Source organism: Homo sapiens, chromosome 16 (genome assembly GCF_000001405.40).
Source record: "Homo sapiens chromosome 16, GRCh38.p14 Primary Assembly".
Classification (NCBI taxonomy): Eukaryota; Metazoa; Chordata; class Mammalia; order Primates; family Hominidae; genus Homo; species Homo sapiens.
Window position 1 is genome coordinate 56,061,217 of NC_000016.10, and position 18,420 is coordinate 56,079,636.

Here is an 18,420-nt window from a genome sequence, read left to right on the forward strand (position 1 = left end):
TCCTGAGTGGTTTCAGGTGATCCACAAATTTGACACAAAAACAAAACCAAAAAAGCTTGTAAACAAAGGCCACTATGTGGCAGATGCTATTAGTTCCCCACCCTCCCAATACCCTTGAGGATGCACCAGCCTACGTCCAGTTGCCGGGACTTGTACCTTTCTCTAGCTGACTTACTCCAAGGCACCATGAGCCTCCAGTGCTGGGGAGATAAACTCTCACTCTCAACAGCTCTCAAAAAATGACTGACAGAAGGTAGTGTATACATACCCCAGCCCCCTTTCCCATCAATAGGATAACTTGGAGGCATGTTTCTACACCAGTTCAGAGTTTCCTCACAGGATCAAGCTCCTCATTCACAGTGGTAGCTGTTCTGATGAACACCCTGTATTGGCTCATTTCTTTTGCCATCTCACTCTCTCTCTCCTGCTGGTGTTTCCTACACCTCCCAAACAACTACTTGTGCTTGACTCCTTGTCTCGAGGTCTGTTTCTAGGGAACCCAAACTAAGAAAGCTTCATAAGAGATGTGCGTTCTTGGCTGGGCATGGTGTCTCACACCTGTAATCCCAGCACTTTGGGAGACTAAAGCAGGAGGATTGGTTGAGTAGTTCAAGACCAGCCTAGGAAACACAGTAAGACCCCATCTCTAAAAAATTAAAAAGCTAGTCAAGTGTGGTGGTGCACACCAGTAGTCCCAGCTACCTAGGAAGCTGAGGCAGGAAGATTGCTTGAGCCCAGGAATTAGAGATTACAGTGAGCCATGATCACGCCACTGCACTCCAGCCTGGACAACAGAGTACAACCTCATCTCTAAATAAATAAGTACATACATAGATAGACAGGTAAAGTGCATTCTCTCTGGCCTTGAGAACAAAGTGCATTGTCAGAATAGGCTAGGTTATATTACTGTAACAAAAATAATTTCAGTGACTTAACACAAAGTTTATTTCTCCAGTCAAAGAAGATATGGTGACTCTTCTCAGGCAGCTCACCTTCCAGTGGCCACTCAGGGATCTCTGCCCGGTCCATGTGTGGCTTTATTATCTTGGGGCCCTTCTCTTCCAGCCTTGTGGAAGATGGAAAGAGGGAGAATGGAAAATTACAAGATGTTTTAAGGGGCAAGCTTGGAAGTATTCTACATCATTTCCACCCACATTCAGAATTCAGTCACATGATTTTACCTGAATGCCTTTTGTGTGTCCAGGGGGAAAGTAAAGGGGTCGATGAAAGCATCCCATTGTCTTTTCCATACAGATATACAAGGCATCTGGCTGGAGCCTAGAATGGGAGAATCCTGACTTCCAGGCCATAGCCCTGGTCAAGGAAATGGTATTGGCCATCAGCAGCAACCTCTTTTTGGCCTTTGTCTTCCCTAGCTCCTGAAGCTACATCTCCTGCTGATCCCACCTGCAGACCTTGGCTGGTTTCAGTCATTCATTTAACACACAGTGTGTGAGCACCTACTGTGTGCCAGACGTTATGCTAGGCACTGGAGATAAGCTGGTTTCTGAAGCACGGGTTTTGGCCACAGCAATAGGTGTTCCAACAGCTATCACCCACCGTTCAGTGGGAACTTAGCATCTGTGTTATTCAACCAGCTTTCCTGGAGACACCCCTTACAGGGCAGTTCTAAGTTTCCAGGGAGCCTCCAGCACAGCACATCGCCTCACCCCACCAGTTCTCTAAATCAGGCTGTTCATGAGCCTGGACCTCTGCTGAGGTTCCCTCTCTGGGGTTTGCCAATTTCCCCCAGTCTCCTCTAAGATGGCGATTCTTAATCTGGGGCCTACAAACCTGGATGGTAAACAAAGGTTGCATTTTTATTCTCACTAACCCCTAACTCATGGGTTGGCACATTATGGCCCACAGGCCAAATCTGGTTGGCTCACCACCTATTTTTTCATAGCCCATGAGCTCTGATTGTCTTTTACATTTTCAAATGGTTGGAAAACACAATCAAAAGAGGAATAATATTTCATGACTTGTAAAACTTATATGAAATTCAACTTTCACTGTCCATAAATAAAGTTTTATGGGAACACAGCCATGCTCATTCATTTACATATTATCTGTGGCTGCTTTCAAGCTATATCAGCAGAGTTGAATAGTTGCTGACAGAGACCATATGGCTCACAAAGCCTAAAATATTTACTATCTGGCCCTTTACAGAAAAGTTTGCTGACCTCTGCTATAACTGAAAGTTAGTGTTTTCTTCAATTATGAATAAAGGCAATAACCAGAGTGGTCACAGTACCTGTGACTTTGTCACCAATAGAATTCACAGGTATTTTCATAACATTGTATTGTTACATATTTTGAAATATCATGTATACTCATCATTATTTCAGAATTAGAGCAATTATTAGACCCATCATTTTATCTTGTCATTTTAAAGCATTAAAAAAGAAACACATATATATTCTGAAAAAAGGTCTATGGGCTTCGCCAAACTGCCAGAAGGTTTATGACCCAAAAAGGGTAAAAGTCCCAATTCTAGGAGAAAGAGGACCCATCTGGCAAAGTCCTGATTTCCCACCCAGCTCTGGCCAGTTCTCTTGTGCAGAGGGCTAAAGCCAGCTCCCTGTATCCCATCAGCTCACTGGGAATGGAGAGCTCCTGGACGAACAGGGAGTTTGTGTTGCCTTCCTGGCCCCGTGTTAGCACTTGATGCTTGAATCCTCGGCAGCACTCATTTCTTTCCCTAGTATTGCCTGACCAGCAGTGCCCTTGCCATGCCCATGGGGCCTGCATCTTGAGCTGCCCAGCCACCCTTACCCAGCCAGCCTCAGGAGGGCTTTGATGTCAGGGCCCATGGACTCTACTAGAGACCTTGGAGGTTCAGTTTCAGGCTGGGGGCTGGGAAGGGATGCAATGCCAGGGCCCAAGGACTGATAGCCCAAGAGGACCCTCTTGCCCTTTCCCACTCCTGTTTCCTGCAAGAATATCATCTTTACTAAGTTAAATCCATGTTCCGTGCCTATCCAAGAAAGATGGGGGGCTCATGTTGCTTCACACAGGAAGCACCACATTGGACTTTGTATGGAGAGGCCACATTTACTGCCCCTAAGGTCCGAGCATCTACATGTCCTAGATTCAATAGAGGCATTGAATCTAAAATTCCCACTTAGGAATTTGGGAGACTTTAAGGTACTATCCTGAAAAGGTCACATGACTTTTGACTAAGCCATATATACATGGAAACCTCTAGAATAAATATGGAGGACAGGACTGGGTTGCTCCAGTTGGCAATGTGGTTAAGATCTTCAATATTTATGTTTCTTATGAAATGGTACCTGAACTTTCCTTGCAAGAGAACATGATCACATAACTATGTGTGTGTGGCCCATGTGGGTTTTCAGAGTCAGTGAAGGTAGGACAAGGCTGCTGGGTGGAGCCAGCGCCCTGAAGGAGATATCTGAAAGCAGACACTGCCAACCTGAGGAAGGTAGGTTGTTGTTGAAGTTTAACTTCCCAACCCCCTCATTCCTCAGGAAATCTCCTCACAGAGCCTACAAAGTTCTCCTTCTCGGGGCCTTTCTGAAAAGGGAAAGCTCCCAGAATGGTCTCGGTGATGGAAAGATAGGCTCAGTGACCACCAAGGATTCCAACATTCAGACATCATCCACTAGACATTAACCAAGAATCTCCTGGTGAACCCATCAGTGAACCAGGCCTGAGAAAGCTATCCACAGTTTGCCTGGGCTTCCTTGGTCCAGGGAGGGTGCAGATATGGAGCGTCAGCCTCGGAGATGGGTGACCAGCCATCTTCGTTTTCCAAGAAAGCCCCAGGAAAACTGGGACAAATTGGCCACCCTACAGGAGACCTTCAATTCTGCCTTCTAGACCTTGCCAGTTGTCTCACTGGGTGACTTCGAGCAAGTCTTAATTTCTTCATGTGTGACATGGCAGCCTGTCATCTTATTAAAACCAACCAGCTAAGCATTCTATTGAGTCCATTGGTTTGTACTCCAGGGTCAATATTTATGAAGAACAAAGCTGGTTTAATATCACTGCTTTGATACACACCATCATTGTTGCCTCTTGCATTCTCTACTGCATTTCCTGCCAAAGGATATTCACAGCTATGGTCTCATTTTAGCCTAACAACTCTGTAAAAGAGAAAAGATAAGAAGGAGAGATCGAAATTTTAGTTATCCCCATTCTGCAGGTGCACAAACAGGATCCCAGAAAGAAGTGACTTTCTCAAGGTCACCCAGTGAGTAGGCAGGTGGTTCTGTTCTCTGGATTGCTCCCCAGTGCCTTTGCTTAGAGTCTTCACATTTGAGCAACTCTGCATGCTGATAATATTCAACCCCACGGTGTCTCATGTACCACTTACCCTAGTTCTTGCCTCTCTTGTGAGAACAGGTCCAGTGTGTCACAGGTAACACAGACTTACAATCACAAAATGGGGTATTGCTATGAGGGATGTTGATGAGACTTTAAAGATGGAGTAATTGGCTGATAACATAATGAGCCTTAAAGTAGATAATAATATTGAGCTCTAAAGGGGATATTAGTATTGATCTGCCTCATCAGTCCTGTTGGGAGGATTAGCTCACTGGCAATTGTAAGAAACTTTGTAATGAAGGAGCACAAATGATAGCACATTTGAGACTCACCTTATGCCCTTTGGGATGCCTCTCCCTAGAATGATTTAAGTAGTAATCTGGATGCCATAGCAACTAAGACCTGCTTGATGGAACCCTTCATCCCTCTGCTCCCTGTGCACTTCTGTATTCTTTAACTCAACCCTAAGGCGAAGACTTCCCTTTCCTAATAAAACAAAAGTGCAGCAAAAAGCATTTGATTTTTGGCCCCTAAAAGCAGCAGGAGCATGGCAAAAATGTAGGATGCTTTTAAGAATTCCAACTAGATGCAATACTCTTATCTGTGGCCACAGAAGTCATGGGTGGAAGAGTCACACTTAGAATAATCAAAGATGGCCAAAGGGGCTCTGCCAACTAGGGGCTCAAGAGAGGCCATATAGGAGGCATTGATTTTGTGGTTCTGATCTGGAGTTCTCTTTACTGCCATTAGGGAAACATTAGCTCTCTCTCACCTGCTCCCATAGCCAGTCCATGTGGAAAGAGTTCTCTGGGTTGTTTTCATAATGTCATTATTGTAGTAATACTGGTTTCAGAGTAGAAGTTTAATAAATGCTGACTGATTGATGTTCTGGTGTTTATGTGTGCATTACGTGCTTACTCACAAGCAAGCTTTTCCAATTTTGCCTTTGCTTTGCACTGAATCACATGCTTTTTTTCCTGAGCCCCTTGTGAAAAAACAAATGAATGAAGAAGTGATTTGCTCAAAGTCATGCAGCTTAAAAATGACGGAACCAAGATGTCCCCAGAGCTTTTGACACCAAGCCTAGAGCTTCTTCTATTCTGCCTTCCTGCCCTCCATAACCATGCTGCAATCCAATCACAAGCACTCAAGGGGACTTATGCCCCATGCTTGTTTTTATTTTCTCTGTGCTCTAACCAGCTAAGTGTTCACTCAGCAACAGTCATTCATCAAGGGAGGCCATTGAGCAGGAGGTTCTGTTGACTGTGCTAGGGGCAGCCCAGCCTCTCCACTGCCCCAGGGATACCTCTAGGGGACACCTGCAACCCTTCTTTTGCACAGAAAAGTAGTGAAGTTCACCTTGGTATTCAAGATGCCTGCATTTTCTCCCCATCCTCTCAATTCCTCCTCTCTCAAAAGTATTTTAAAGAAAAAGATTTAAAATTGCTTGGAAATTGAAGCAAGATTGCCTGGTTATTGATTCAAATTCTGGCAGGCCTGACTTGAAGCTGTCTCATTTGTTACTGTCACCAATTCCGATGGCTAAAGAGGAATCCTGAGGAATTGGGCTGAAACCAAATGATCCAGGAATCTCTCCATCCCCCACCCCACCTCCATGCAGGAGAATTTCATATTTCCATTCCAGCTGAGGTCTATTGCAGGATGTTAATTGGGATTTCGGTTGGTGTCTCTCACTCTGGGGTTTTGCTTAAACTAATATTTTTGGTTCTTTGTTTCTGTATCTTAACAGCAGACAACAAACAACCTCTGATTAGCCACAGAATGACAAGAGCTGGGTTTATCCAGCAATTTGGCAGATAGACACAATAACAGTAGCCTTTGAAGCACTGCTATTGGGAATGTGATAGGGAATGTATTGTGGCAAAGAAATCCTATACTTTGTGTCATCCTCTGCATAGAAAAAGAATCTGGGTCTATTGCATCTTGTAAGAAAAAAGATATTAGAGAGACAATAAGATACTAGTAATAACAGTCTGCTTATATGCTAAAAGGGCTTGAGACACAATCATACAGACCTGAATCTACTTGTAATTTTGTAGGCTTCCTTTAGCAAATTTTCTTTGCTTGGTTTCTATGGAAACTGGAGGCTGCACATGAGCTAGAGACACTCAGTAGTCTTTCCTGGCAGATGTGTCCATTTCAGATATCTCTGATTTAAGTGATGTCATGTTTTAACCACAAAGATTAAAAGAAAAAGTAATACTAATCCATTTGTTGTGCTCACATAATTATTGCTGAGAAAGTCTATGTTGATAGCTACCATTTATTGAGCACTTGCTGTGTTCCAGGACATATTCTAAGCAATTATATATCTTCGCTCACTTAATCTTCCCAGTAGCCCCATTGGTTTGGTATCTGTAACAATCAAGGTCCAGCCAGGAAAACAGAAACCACTCTAGGTGTCTCAAATAGAAGGAATTGAATATAAGGAATTAGTTATGAATACACTGAAACTGCTGAGAGGCCAAACAAGGGGCTGGGAGGCAGCTCAGAGAGTAGAAAATATAAGGAGCTACTCTAAACCCTGGGGCTGGAGAGACAATGGAAAGAGGTCATGTTTCCTGTGCCAAGTTGAGACGGAGTGGCATGAGCTAGAACTATCACAAGGACTCCATGTAGGAGCTGAGACCAAGTTTCCAGTTAAGCTTGTTTTTAGAGCTCTACTGGTAGAGGTTGAGAAAGCTGACACCAGATTTTCTTTCTCTATTTCAGGAAAAGAGAAACATGCTCACTGGCGTAAAGGGGTATCAAGAGGTAAGGAAATCCAACAACAGCAGAACACTAACCTCTGTTTACCCAACCCCGTGTCATGGTCACCAAGCCCAGGGCATGGGTCAGTGGTTAAGAGGACACTGGAGCTGCAGCCTGGAACCTCCTCCTGAGGGGCAGGAACTATCTGGTGGGCACTGGACCTATGAGACTGCTACCAGCACATCACAGGAAGCAAAGAGAGAAAGAGGGAGTAATGCCCTGCCTTCTCTCTGTCTCCTACCCTCAGACCTTCTGTCAAGTTCTCCTATTGGCTTGAATCTGGGGCCAGAAGTCAAAGGATTCTGGGAAATGAGTTCCCCTGTGATTCAGAGAAGAGCAGAGGAAGTACAGAGATGAACCTGAGAGCAAACTAGCAGTTGATTCGTGGAGTACTTCTATACCCATTTTATTAATAAGAAAACTGAGGCACAGAAAGATTATTTTCCAAAGACAAACATTAGCAAGTAAAATGACTTGTTATCTGGTTAAATCCACCCCCTTAACCACTTTATAATATCTTCTGTGGAGGGAAAAAGGACGTCACACACATAAAAATCCTATATCAGATGCCTTTCACCCAAGTAGGCCCAGTTGATTATGAAAACATTCAATTGTGGGAGACTGCCCATCTTAAATTTGCCCATCTGGGGGTTCTGGATATTTATTTAATGTATGCTTATAATTCCAGACGATTCAGCCTGGCTACGTATCCATGCCTTGAGTCATAAAAATATGAAAAGGGCATGTCCTGACTAGTGACATGGACCTGGGAGTAGGGGAAGACTGAACTGATGAGGAACCTCACTTTTCTCATATTTGCTTTGATTCCATTTGGTTAGAGTGTCACAAAGAGGTGAGGGAGAAAGTAGGAAAAAATTCCCAGTTCCCATTTTCTCCCTTAAGGTTTGACCATCTGCTGCTGCTAAAGTTGTTAGAGAAATCTATCAGTGGAAAGCTAAATGTCTACCTGAAAGCTTCATCTTTTCTCTGAATTGGGAGAAGAAGACCATTTAGCTGAGGGACAACTTGGCAAAACTTGAAGAGAATTGTTTCATCTGATAGCCAGGGCAGACCCTTCCTAGAGGCAGTCATGTCTTCAGAGAGCTTACTTGAAAACCAAGGAACATTGCAATATAAGGATTTTCAGTGACTAGCAATAAGATAACATTTCTGGTGAGCTTATTTTCCTTGTTTCCTTTTAAATGTATGCTTTATGTGAAGGAACTTCGGTATTTGTAACGCTAGTCCTGCTTACCTTAGCAGACAAATCCATGGAAACGTGCGGATGCTTATCTTCCTTCCCAAAGGGTCCGAAGTGCTTCCCTGGTTAAAGACCCCTGAAGGGGGATGTTTTTCTCCCACTGAATCCCCAAGACCAGCAGGGAGAGTGGTAGACTCTGTTCCTTGCAGGACAGCACAGTTCTGGCCTGCCCCTGACCTTAATCCCAGGGAGAAAGCAACTTGTGGAAACCGAAGCAGGCAGAGTAAAATCCCTTCTGTCCCCCTCAAAATATTTTTTCCAGAACTAATGAAATTTAAGGCCAGGTAGGGTGGCTTATGCTTGTAATTCCAGCATTTTGGGAGGCTGAGGCAGGAGGATCCCTTGAGGCAAGGAATTTAAGACCAGCCTGGAGAGCATAGCAAAACCTACAAAAAAATACAAAAATTAGCCAGATGTGGTGGCATGTGCTTGTAGTCCCAGCTACTCAGAAGACTGAGGTGGGAGGATTGCTTGAGCCCAGGAATTTGAAGCTGTAGTGAGCTATGATCACACCACTGCACTCCAGCCTGGGCAACAGACAGAGTGAGACCCTGTCTCTGAAAAAAATATAATAAAATAAAATAAAAATAATTTAAAATAGCCTTGCAATTGACAGCAATAGACATTTAATGGCCAGGAAGTCTTAATACTTACTTTCTCATTATGGATATGAGGTGAAATACATTTGCATAACAAAGAGTACCTGTTAATTTTGCCAGGTGCCTGGCTTTAAAGACAAGAAAGAAAAATCCTATATCCTGTGACCTCCATGAGTTTCCTTTAAGTCTGGATCCAGGCTATGTGGGGCCTGATACAATCCTAGGGGCCCTCCTTAAGAAAAAGAATGCAGAATTAGGACCATCAACTTAGGTATAAAAATGTTTATCCATTTAGAATGAGAAAAGAGATCACAACACATTAGGAAATTGTTAAAAGCCAAGAGATGCCTAAAACTTACAAAATCTAGAATGTAATGCTTTTGTGTTAATACTTTCCCTACTTTTTTACACTTTGTGATTATCCCTTCATACAATAATTCTGTGATATCTTCTATCAAGAGACTAGAAAGATAAATCAGCATTTTCTTCAACATAGTTGACCAAATTTACCTTTTTATTTTTCATAGTTCAGAAAAATTTATTTTGGCTTTACAACTCATTATTTATAGTGAGATGCCCATCTTTAGGACTGTGGTCAAATATGGAAAAAACTTCTAAGTGTTTTCTGCATGTGAACTAAGACTTAAGGGTATTTCAGGTTTTCTCATGAGGTGATTAACCTTAAAAATACACTTTGAAAGGACAGCAGCCACTAACCACTTGTTGTCAATGTCCTTGTTTCTTTATACTGAGTGACTTGGCCTATAGGACACTGGGAGTATCCCTAAATGCCACCACTTAACTAGACTGTGAAGTGACTGAATGACACAGAGGCATACCCACTGAACCCAACATTCCCAATTCAACTTCCCATTAGGTATTCCCTAAAGATTCCCATAGCTATTACAAAGCCACCTAATACAAGGGGATGATGACAGAGGGGAAGTTGGCATGAAAAGAGACAGCAATCTTAACTGATTGCAGTGAAATAATGTTTCTAGTTGGCCATGGTGGTGCACACCTGTGGTCCCAGCTACTCGTGAAGCTGAGGCAGGAGGATTACTTGAGCCCAGGAGTCGGAGGCTGCAGTGAGCTATGATCACACCAATGCACTCTACCCTGAACAATAGAGTGAGATCCTGTCTCCGAGAGAGAGAGACAGAGAGAGAACTTTTCAGGTCCTTGAATGGGGATTATGTAAAGGAGGGACCCTGAAATTTACAACCTAAGCTTTCTTAGTTTGTGATAAATCTGCCTCTGGTTTTATCGACATTATCATCATCATTATTATTATTACTCCTGCAACATGGGGGCTTTCTGGGGATTCCAACAAGATAATGCGTACAGACGTGGAACATAACAGGCTGTCAATTGATTGTATTTATCATCATCATCATCATCACTGTACTTGGCTCTCAACAAGAGGTAAGGAAGGAAAGAGTGTCATGGCCAAGAGGCTTTCTGGAGGAGATGACCCTCCTGCTGGGTCTCAGAGGCTCTCCTTTTACTTTTAACACCTGTAGTACTCAATTCTTTTCAGGTAAGGGCTTGCAGTAACCAATTTCCAGGACACAACAATCTAGACAGAGCAGAGGATATTCAATGGGTTCATATTTGCTGCCATTTTTTTAGTCTGGACTAAAGTAAGAGCGTTTGATTATTCAAATTATTTTAAAATTGATTTTATCATCTTATTGAAACTTTAGGATTAGCAGAGTTTTAAAAAGGAAGGAAAGAAAGAATGACAAAGAACCTCAAATCTCTGTTTGTTCGAGATGGTTTAGTTTTGAAAGATGTTGGTAAGTTGATCTACCTGTATCAAATTATTCTATAGAGAAAAGCTTTATGGAGAGACACACAGGCTGGATCTTTCCTCTCCAGAACCAGCTAAAAATACTTCTTTTCCTTATCTCATGGGAATCTGACCCATCTCAGCCATTGAATTGGTACCAGCAAGTGGTACCAATGGGGGAAAGCCATGCTTCTGTCTTCCCATGGAAAATTACATTTGGTGGAACAGGTGGGGCAAAGAGTAGGTTCCTGCAGGAGGTGGCACACAAGGCTTCCAGGAAGGTAGGCACCCTGCCAACCACCTCCTTCAGCAAGCAGAGACACTCTGCCCCCACCCAGACCCCGCCAAGCACAGCCACAGAGGCAATGCCTGCCTTGGCGTGGATGGAGTACTCTGCCATGAGCCCTGTGCATGGCGATGGTGGCAAGTTTCCTGAGTCCCCAAGTCAACAAATCCACCCATCTCCCCAGGCCTGAAACTACTCCTGTAGTCAGCCCCTCGGGTTAAGGATGGACAGCCCCCCATACTACTAAGATACAAATGTGTAAAGCCCTCCTCCAGCCAGGCACTAGCACTAGAGCTGAGAGTGAACTACCGGATGGCCCAGCTGGACAGCATGGCCATGAAAGGAAGGGCTGCTCCAGCACCATGTTTGGGGCTCCCCACAGCACTTTGCAGGTCTAGGCTGCCACTGTGATTCTCTAGACCTCTCCTTCCTGGAGCAACCACAGCCACCATCAAGCTCACACACTTTCCTTCCATTCCATTGTCCAAATCCCACCTCTCTGCCCATCTACGGCTCCCAGGGAGCATTTCCAGACCCCACCCATAATGGTCACTCTTTCCTCTGACCTCTCATAGCTTTTCATTTATTTTAAGAAGTAAATTACTTTTTACATTGACTCATAGTTAGGCATGTCTTTATTTCCATTCTACTGGTTGCTGTGTTTCCACCATGCTTATAAATGTTTGCTGAATAAATGAACAGATGACAGTCTGGAATCAGAGAAGAAGGTCCAAGCATAGATCTGTGGAGAGCATGCCTGAGGAGGCCCAGGAAGGGTGCTGAGGAGCTTGGAGGGTGTCTCAGGATGCTGCATGTTCTGGGGGTACCAAAGGCCTTAGCAGGGAAAAGGAGGGGTTTCATAAGCAAATCCTGACATCCGATAATGCCTGGGGGCCCCTGGTAGGCAGTCAGGACCTTTTGGGTTGCAAGAGACAAGAGTCAGTTCAAACCGGCTTCAGCAAGAAGGGTATTCTTGGCTTTCTTGGATGGGAAGGATACTGAAATGGCTCACAGAATGAAATGAAGTGTTCCAGGAACCAAACCCAGGATAGGAAGTGAAACCCACTAAGGATCCAGGAGATGTCTCTCCTCTCCTCTCTTCCCTCTCCCTTTTTCCTTCTCCTCTGTCCCCTCCCCCATCCTTTTTCCCCTCTCCCCTCATCTCTCTCCCTCTCTTCCTTCTCTTTCTCTCTCTCCATCTCATTTTCACTGTCTCTATTTTAATAGCACTCTCTTTTACATCAGAAAAGTTCTCTCCACATGCCAGAGAAAATAGCTCCTAGCAACTCCAGATATAAACCCTTAATGATTTAAAACTAAGAAAAACTAGCTTTCCACCTCCAATCAGAAGATTCCATGGGAGGCCCCCAACTGGCCTGGATTCTGTGCATCCACCCCTTGGACGAGTCACTGTGTCCAGGGATGTGACACCATTCTTGGCCCAACTGTGTGAAGGAGGCCAGGCACCATGATTGACAGCTCCACTAGGGCCACACGGAGGCATAAAACAAGAATGTCAGAGACTCGCTACACTAGCAGACAAGGGCTCTGGGATGGGCTCTTGGAAGGGATGATGGGGAGGACTTAGAAATAACTTCAGGCCGGGGTGATGATATCAAGACCAGGGATGTTTTTCCAGGCAGCAAAAGAGAGCCCCTCTGAAACTTTGGACTCTTGTCTCCTAGGGACACCCTATTTAAAAAGATCTCAACCCAGCAGCTCCTTTGAACTCTACCTCTGGCCTGAGAGTTGAACCTCAAATGGCAACTCCAATTGTTTGGGTTTTGTTTTTGAGACAGGGTCTCACTCTGTCACCCAGGCTGGAGTGCAGTGGCACAAACATGGCTCACTGCAGCCTTGACCTCCTGGGATCAAGCAATCCTCCTGCCTCAGCCTCCCACATAGCTGGGACCACATGCATGCATCACCACGCCTGGTTAATTTCTTAAAAATGTTTTGTAGAGATGGAGTCTCACTTTGTTGCCCAGGCTGGTCTCAAACTCCTGGGCTCAAGAAATCCTCCCACCTTGACCTCCCAAAATGCTGGGATTACAGATGTGAGCCATCACGCCCAGCCAATAACTCTGCTTCTTGTGACTATCAGCCTTGTGTCAATGGGTCTCTGAGCCTTGCTGGGACACATGAGAACCTCCAACCTTTCTCACCTATAAAGCTGCACTGGATTAGGACTCAAGCACCTGATTTTGAGCCTTGACTCACTTTCTCATTTATAAACTGAATGTGTGGATAATATCTGTACTGCCTTCTCTTAGAAGTTCTTGTGAAAATCACATAATGGAATGTGTGAAAAGCGCACACTGCAAACTGTAAAGTACCATACAAACTTAAGAACTTGCTATTTCAAAGTCGTTCACCTCATCTCACACTTGAGGCTCTATATCACTCTCATTAAACTTTCTTTCATTCACTTCTTCTACCTGAATAAAAATAAAATTATACTTTCTAATTATTTTTTAATTAATTATGGTCCTTTGTAAAAGTGATACACACACATAGTTTTCAAAGGCACTTAGTTCGACAAATACATGATTAAAACAGTAGTCTTCTGGTCATCTATAGAAATCCCAGATATTTAGCCAGGTGTGGTGTTGCACACCCATAGTCCCAGCTACTCTGGGAGGCTGAGGCGGGAGGATCACTTGAGCCTGGACATTGGAGGCTGCAGTGAGGTATCTATGATAGTGTCACTGCACACCAGCCTGGGCAACAGACAAGATCCTGTCACAAAAACAGAAAACCAAAAAACAGATATGCTCATCTCACATCACATTGATGCAAATATCTTAAAATAGCACTCATGCTCATCACTACTTCAAAATTACAGTCATTCTGCCCTTCTTGTTATTTAATGTGCTCATTAAAAAGCACATACATTGCTATATCCCTATTTTGTTTTTTGATATTTTGACAACTATATTTCAATATGATCAGTTTCCTTTGTACTTCTATGCATTTTATGTGCTTTAAAATATTATTCTGTCTTCATTCCTCTCTTCCTCCTTCCCCCCAATTTTCTATAAACCTTAAACTGCTCTAAAAATAAAGTCTATTAATAAAATAATTTTTTCACTTGTTAAAACAGCATTATTTTGAGAAGAGATCCATATGCCTCATCTGATTGTGGGTCCACAGCATAAAAAAATACTTTGAATCCTTGCTTCAGTTCAATGTCAGGTGCTAGACCTCCTGGTTTAATCCTCTCATTGTGAAATCATATTCTGTATTTTTGTGCTTTTGTTCTACTTTCTGCATAATTTCCTCAGTTTGATCTTCTGACCCCATCCATGACTATTTTATTGCTGCTGCATTCCCTTTGATAACATCCCAGTCTTATTCCATAGCTGTTCTATCCTCTCATCTCGCTTAGGGCATCAAGTCTGGGGTGTGATTTATTCCTGTTGATCTCAGACTGTTTACATGTGGAAAAAGTACAACAAGGTGTTTGGGAGTTCTGTATCTAAGTGTAGGGCTTGCTGGCTGGTGGCTTCCCTGTGGGGTTATTGATCCATCACTAGGCATTTCATTCTGGGATCCCCACATGGCAGAATCGGTGGATCTTTCCTCTTGGGGAAGTCCATGCCTTCAGGGAGAAATCTCCTAATTCCCTGCTTGGAGGGAGTGGGGATGTACAAGTCAACATCCTGGGAATCACTTAGCAGGAGAGACTTGGACCTTATCCCTTGTTTTTCATTCAGCTCAGTGCTGTTCACAACTGTTCCTGGCTATTCCCTCAATCTGAATTCTCTCTCATTCAATTATCCAGGGATTAAATCTCCTATTTCCTGCTGGAGCAAGGGAGAAACAGCTGACAGTTGTTTGGACTGGGGAAGGAGATCCCCTGAGACAGATCTTCGACGCATCTGCCTGTGTTCCGCCCGACCCTCTCCCGGCTTTGATCATTGGTTGGTACCTTCAATTCCTGAGCTCTTCCGAGGTTCTTGGATGTGAGCTGGCCTGCTGCCTCTCAGCTTTCCCTTCTGCCAAGACAGCACTCAGCCTTCCACTTTTCACGTTCCCAAGTTCTGCTGATCTTTCTTCTCTGATATCTTTTTCTCTCCATTTTTCTTCGTTCTTGTAAGTTTATACCTTTTCTTTGCCATAGTGTTAGCGGGGTTTTGGGAAGGAGCTGACACTACAGAGCATACTCGGCCTGTCACATTTATCCGCATGTCTTTTAGCCTTCCAGTTTCTCACTTCAGCCCAAAGAATAATAAAAGGCACCATCAGTCTTTTATTGATACTTGTGGGGACTTTTATATCCAACTTGATGTTGGTGCAATGTGATTTGACAGCAAGAAAACAGTGCTCTTGAATCTTGGCTGCCAGCCAGGGGACCCGAAATGTCAGCACCCATCCCTAACAATAAGTAACCTGAAACTACAGGAACTGAACTACAATATGATAAAGAAAGCAGAAGGCCAGGCGCGGTGGCTCACGCCTGTAATCCCAGCACTTTGGGAGGCCAAGGTGGGCAGATCACGAGGTCAAGAGATCGAGACCATCCTGGCCAACATGGTGAAACCCCGTCTCTACTAAAAATACAAAAATTAGCCGGGCGTGGTGGCTGGCACCTGTAATCCCAGCTACTTGGGAGTCTGAGGCAGGATAATCGCTTGAACCTGGGAGGCGGAGGTTGCACACTCCAGCCTGGTGACAGAGAGAGACTCCGTCTCAAAAAAAAAAAAAAAAAAACCAAAAAAAAGAAAGGAGAAGTATCCAACATCCAAAATGGCGATCTTCAGATGAAGTTGGAAATGTCCAGCTCCTCCAGGCAGACGACCAGGCTAAGGGAACAGAGGTATGAGTCTCCTTCTCTGCCACTCAGTCTCCACCCAATGCTGGGATTTAAGAGATGAAAGATGGACTGAATGAAGCAAGGCGAGGGAAACTGAGCCCAGACACAGTTCCTGTTAAGAGAGAAGAAAACAATATTTCTAATTTGCCAGGACTCCAATTGGACAGGATTTCTATAAATAGGCATGATTATATTTTCTGGGGTCTGATGAAAAATCAGAGGCGAGGTTTGAGTTCAAGACTGAAAAATGAAAATGTCCTGGCTATAGCTCCCTACTCTACTGATGAAAAAGTCTAGCACTGGCCAAATCTAATATGAGCCACAGGCCTACCACTACACGATTGGAGCAAAATTCAGCAGAACTGGCCACACTGCTGTGGAGAATAGCCAGGTTAATTACTTGGCCACGCGCTGGTACATCAGGACCATTTTGAGAATGCTTTGCCCTAAAACAGAGAGACCCAAGTGGAAAGAATCACGGGAGATCAGTGAACATCACGGAGAGAGCAGTGACCAGAGGTGGAAATTCCCATAGGGGTGATATGGTTGGGATGTGTGTCCCCTCCAAATCTCATGTTGAAATGTGACCCCCAGTCTTGGAGGTGAGGCCTAGTGGGAGGTGTTTAGGTCATGGGGGCGAATCCTTCATGAACAGCTTAGTGCCCTTCCCAGTGGTAATGAGTGAGCTCTCACTCTATTAGTTCACACAAGAGCTGGTTGTTTAAAAGAGCCTGGCATCTCTCTTGCCATGTGATGGCACCTGCTCCCCTTTTCCCTTCCATCATGATTGAAAGCTTCCTGAGGCCCTCCCAGAAGCAGACACCAGCACAATGCTTCTTGTACAGCCTGCAGAATCATGAGCCGAATAAAGTTTTTTTCTCACTCAGCCTCAGGTATTCTTCCTTTATAGCAATGCAAAATGGACCAATTCAGAGGGCAAAGTGTCTCACTTGAGAGATTGATTACAGGCTAAATTATTATAAAATTCCCTCCCTCCAAGAAATTCACTCTAAATACAAATTACACAAATAGTTGGCTACCACTCATTGATGTGAATTGAAAGCAGAAGAAGGAGAAAAAAACATGTGTATTATATTTCTCTTTTCTATATTTAGGTTTCTTTATCAAACTTCCACCCAAAATATAGGAAGAAGTTCCCACAGGACCAGAGCTGCCATGTAAAGATGTGTACCTTGTGCCCTGGAGAGCTCCAGGGCATCCTCACATCGCAGGCTGTGGCCATACATGGAACGCCCCAGGGCTTTCCCATTTCCAGATGCTATGGTCACAAAGCACCGGATAAAGCTTTCACAGTGAACAACCAGGCCATACGCTAACGACAGCCTGAGGCTCCACCTCTGGGTCTCCGATTAACCATCATTCTAGACCAAGTTATTTTTGCCAGAAGTAGGGACTAAGTGCTGTGGATTCTGCAGGGCCTCTCCTAGCAGGCCTGTTTCTACTTTTTCTCAAGGTCTACAGCTTCCGCCACCCTCTCTGGGGACAGCCCGGTCAGATTCTGGATGCTTCCTTCCTCATCTAACTGGATACATTCTTTTTTTTTTTTTTTTTTGAGACAGAGTCTCGCTCTGTCACCCAGGTTGGAGTACAGTGGTGCGATCTCGGCTCACTGCAACTTCCGCTTCTCAGGTTCAAGTGATCCTCTCACCTCAGCCTCCTAAGTAGCTGGGATTACAGGCGCGTGCCACCATGCCAGGCTAATTTTTTTTGTATTTTTTAGAGATTGGGTTTCACTTTATTGCCTATCCTTGTCTCAAACTCCAGAGCTCAAGTGATCTCCCTGCCTTGGCCTCCCAAAGTGCTAGGATTACAGGTGTGAGCCACTGCATCCAGCCTAGGATACATTCTAACCACCCCCACCACCACCGCAACCCGAAGGGCACGACTTTCTCCTCTAAGTGCAACACAGCTCTCTGGTTTCTCTGAGCTGGTTCCCTCCCTGGTACCACTTCCACAGGAGAACAGCTGACCATACTTGGGCTCTGAAGATAACTAGAGAAGAACCTGGAGTCTCCTCAGAGTTCCTCCCTACCCATCCCATTGTTTGAGGTTAGCCACCACTTCTGGCTCCATAGTTTAATAGATGGACTAATCTTGTTCCTCCTAGTATCTGTCCAGACCTTGTCACCAAAACCATAGGTAACTTGTCCTCGAAGAAGTACACCCCATTCTTCACACAATAACAGACCATCCACATGGCTTCCCAAATCTCTCCCTTGAGCACAGAGGGGCTTTACGAACACTGAATGCTCACAGCCCCAGTAGGCTTCATGCAGACATGATATGATGACCATGAAAATACACATTTACAGTTACAGCAGAGCCAAGCCTTAAAGTCACTAAAATGGAATATCGGATCAAAGTCTTTCAGATTCCAACCTCTCCTTTTTTTGGTTGTAATCACTCTCCCGCCATGCTACCTGTAGTATTCCATTTTCTTTCCCCCATCTTTGTTTTTGTGAAGATAAAAGCAGTTTGAAATGAGTACTCGAAGTCACCTACTACTCTGCTGGAGGTTGATATCTCCTCTTTTTTTCCCTCTCTATGTACAAATATATACTTGTCTTTTATGATCAAAGATAA

The 18,420-nt window shown here is 44.2% G+C and overlaps 1 long non-coding RNA gene across 1 annotated transcript, besides 1 other annotated feature; it reads right to left on the bottom strand.

Moving 5' to 3' along the window:
* Positions 1 to 921: 921 nt before the first annotated feature.
* On the bottom strand, positions 922 to 15,488 carry LOC105371281 (uncharacterized). The gene is made up of 3 exons (XR_001752201.2): positions 14,932 to 15,488; positions 4,027 to 4,109; positions 922 to 1,066 (listed from the first exon to the last, which is right to left on the bottom strand). It is a non-coding gene; the product is annotated as an uncharacterized LOC105371281 (long non-coding RNA).
* Positions 7,124 to 8,323: an enhancer, noted in NCBI's record as "MED14-independent group 3 enhancer chr16:56102252-56103451 (GRCh37/hg19 assembly coordinates)". NCBI's record gives its function as "activates an origin of replication core promoter dependent on BRD2, BRD4, P300/CBP and CDK7 cofactors, and independent of MED14, by STARR-seq in HCT116 cells {active_cell/tissue: HCT116}" and the evidence as "EXISTENCE:reporter gene assay evidence [ECO:0000049][PMID:35650434]".
* Positions 15,489 to 18,420: the final 2,932 nt, after the last annotated feature.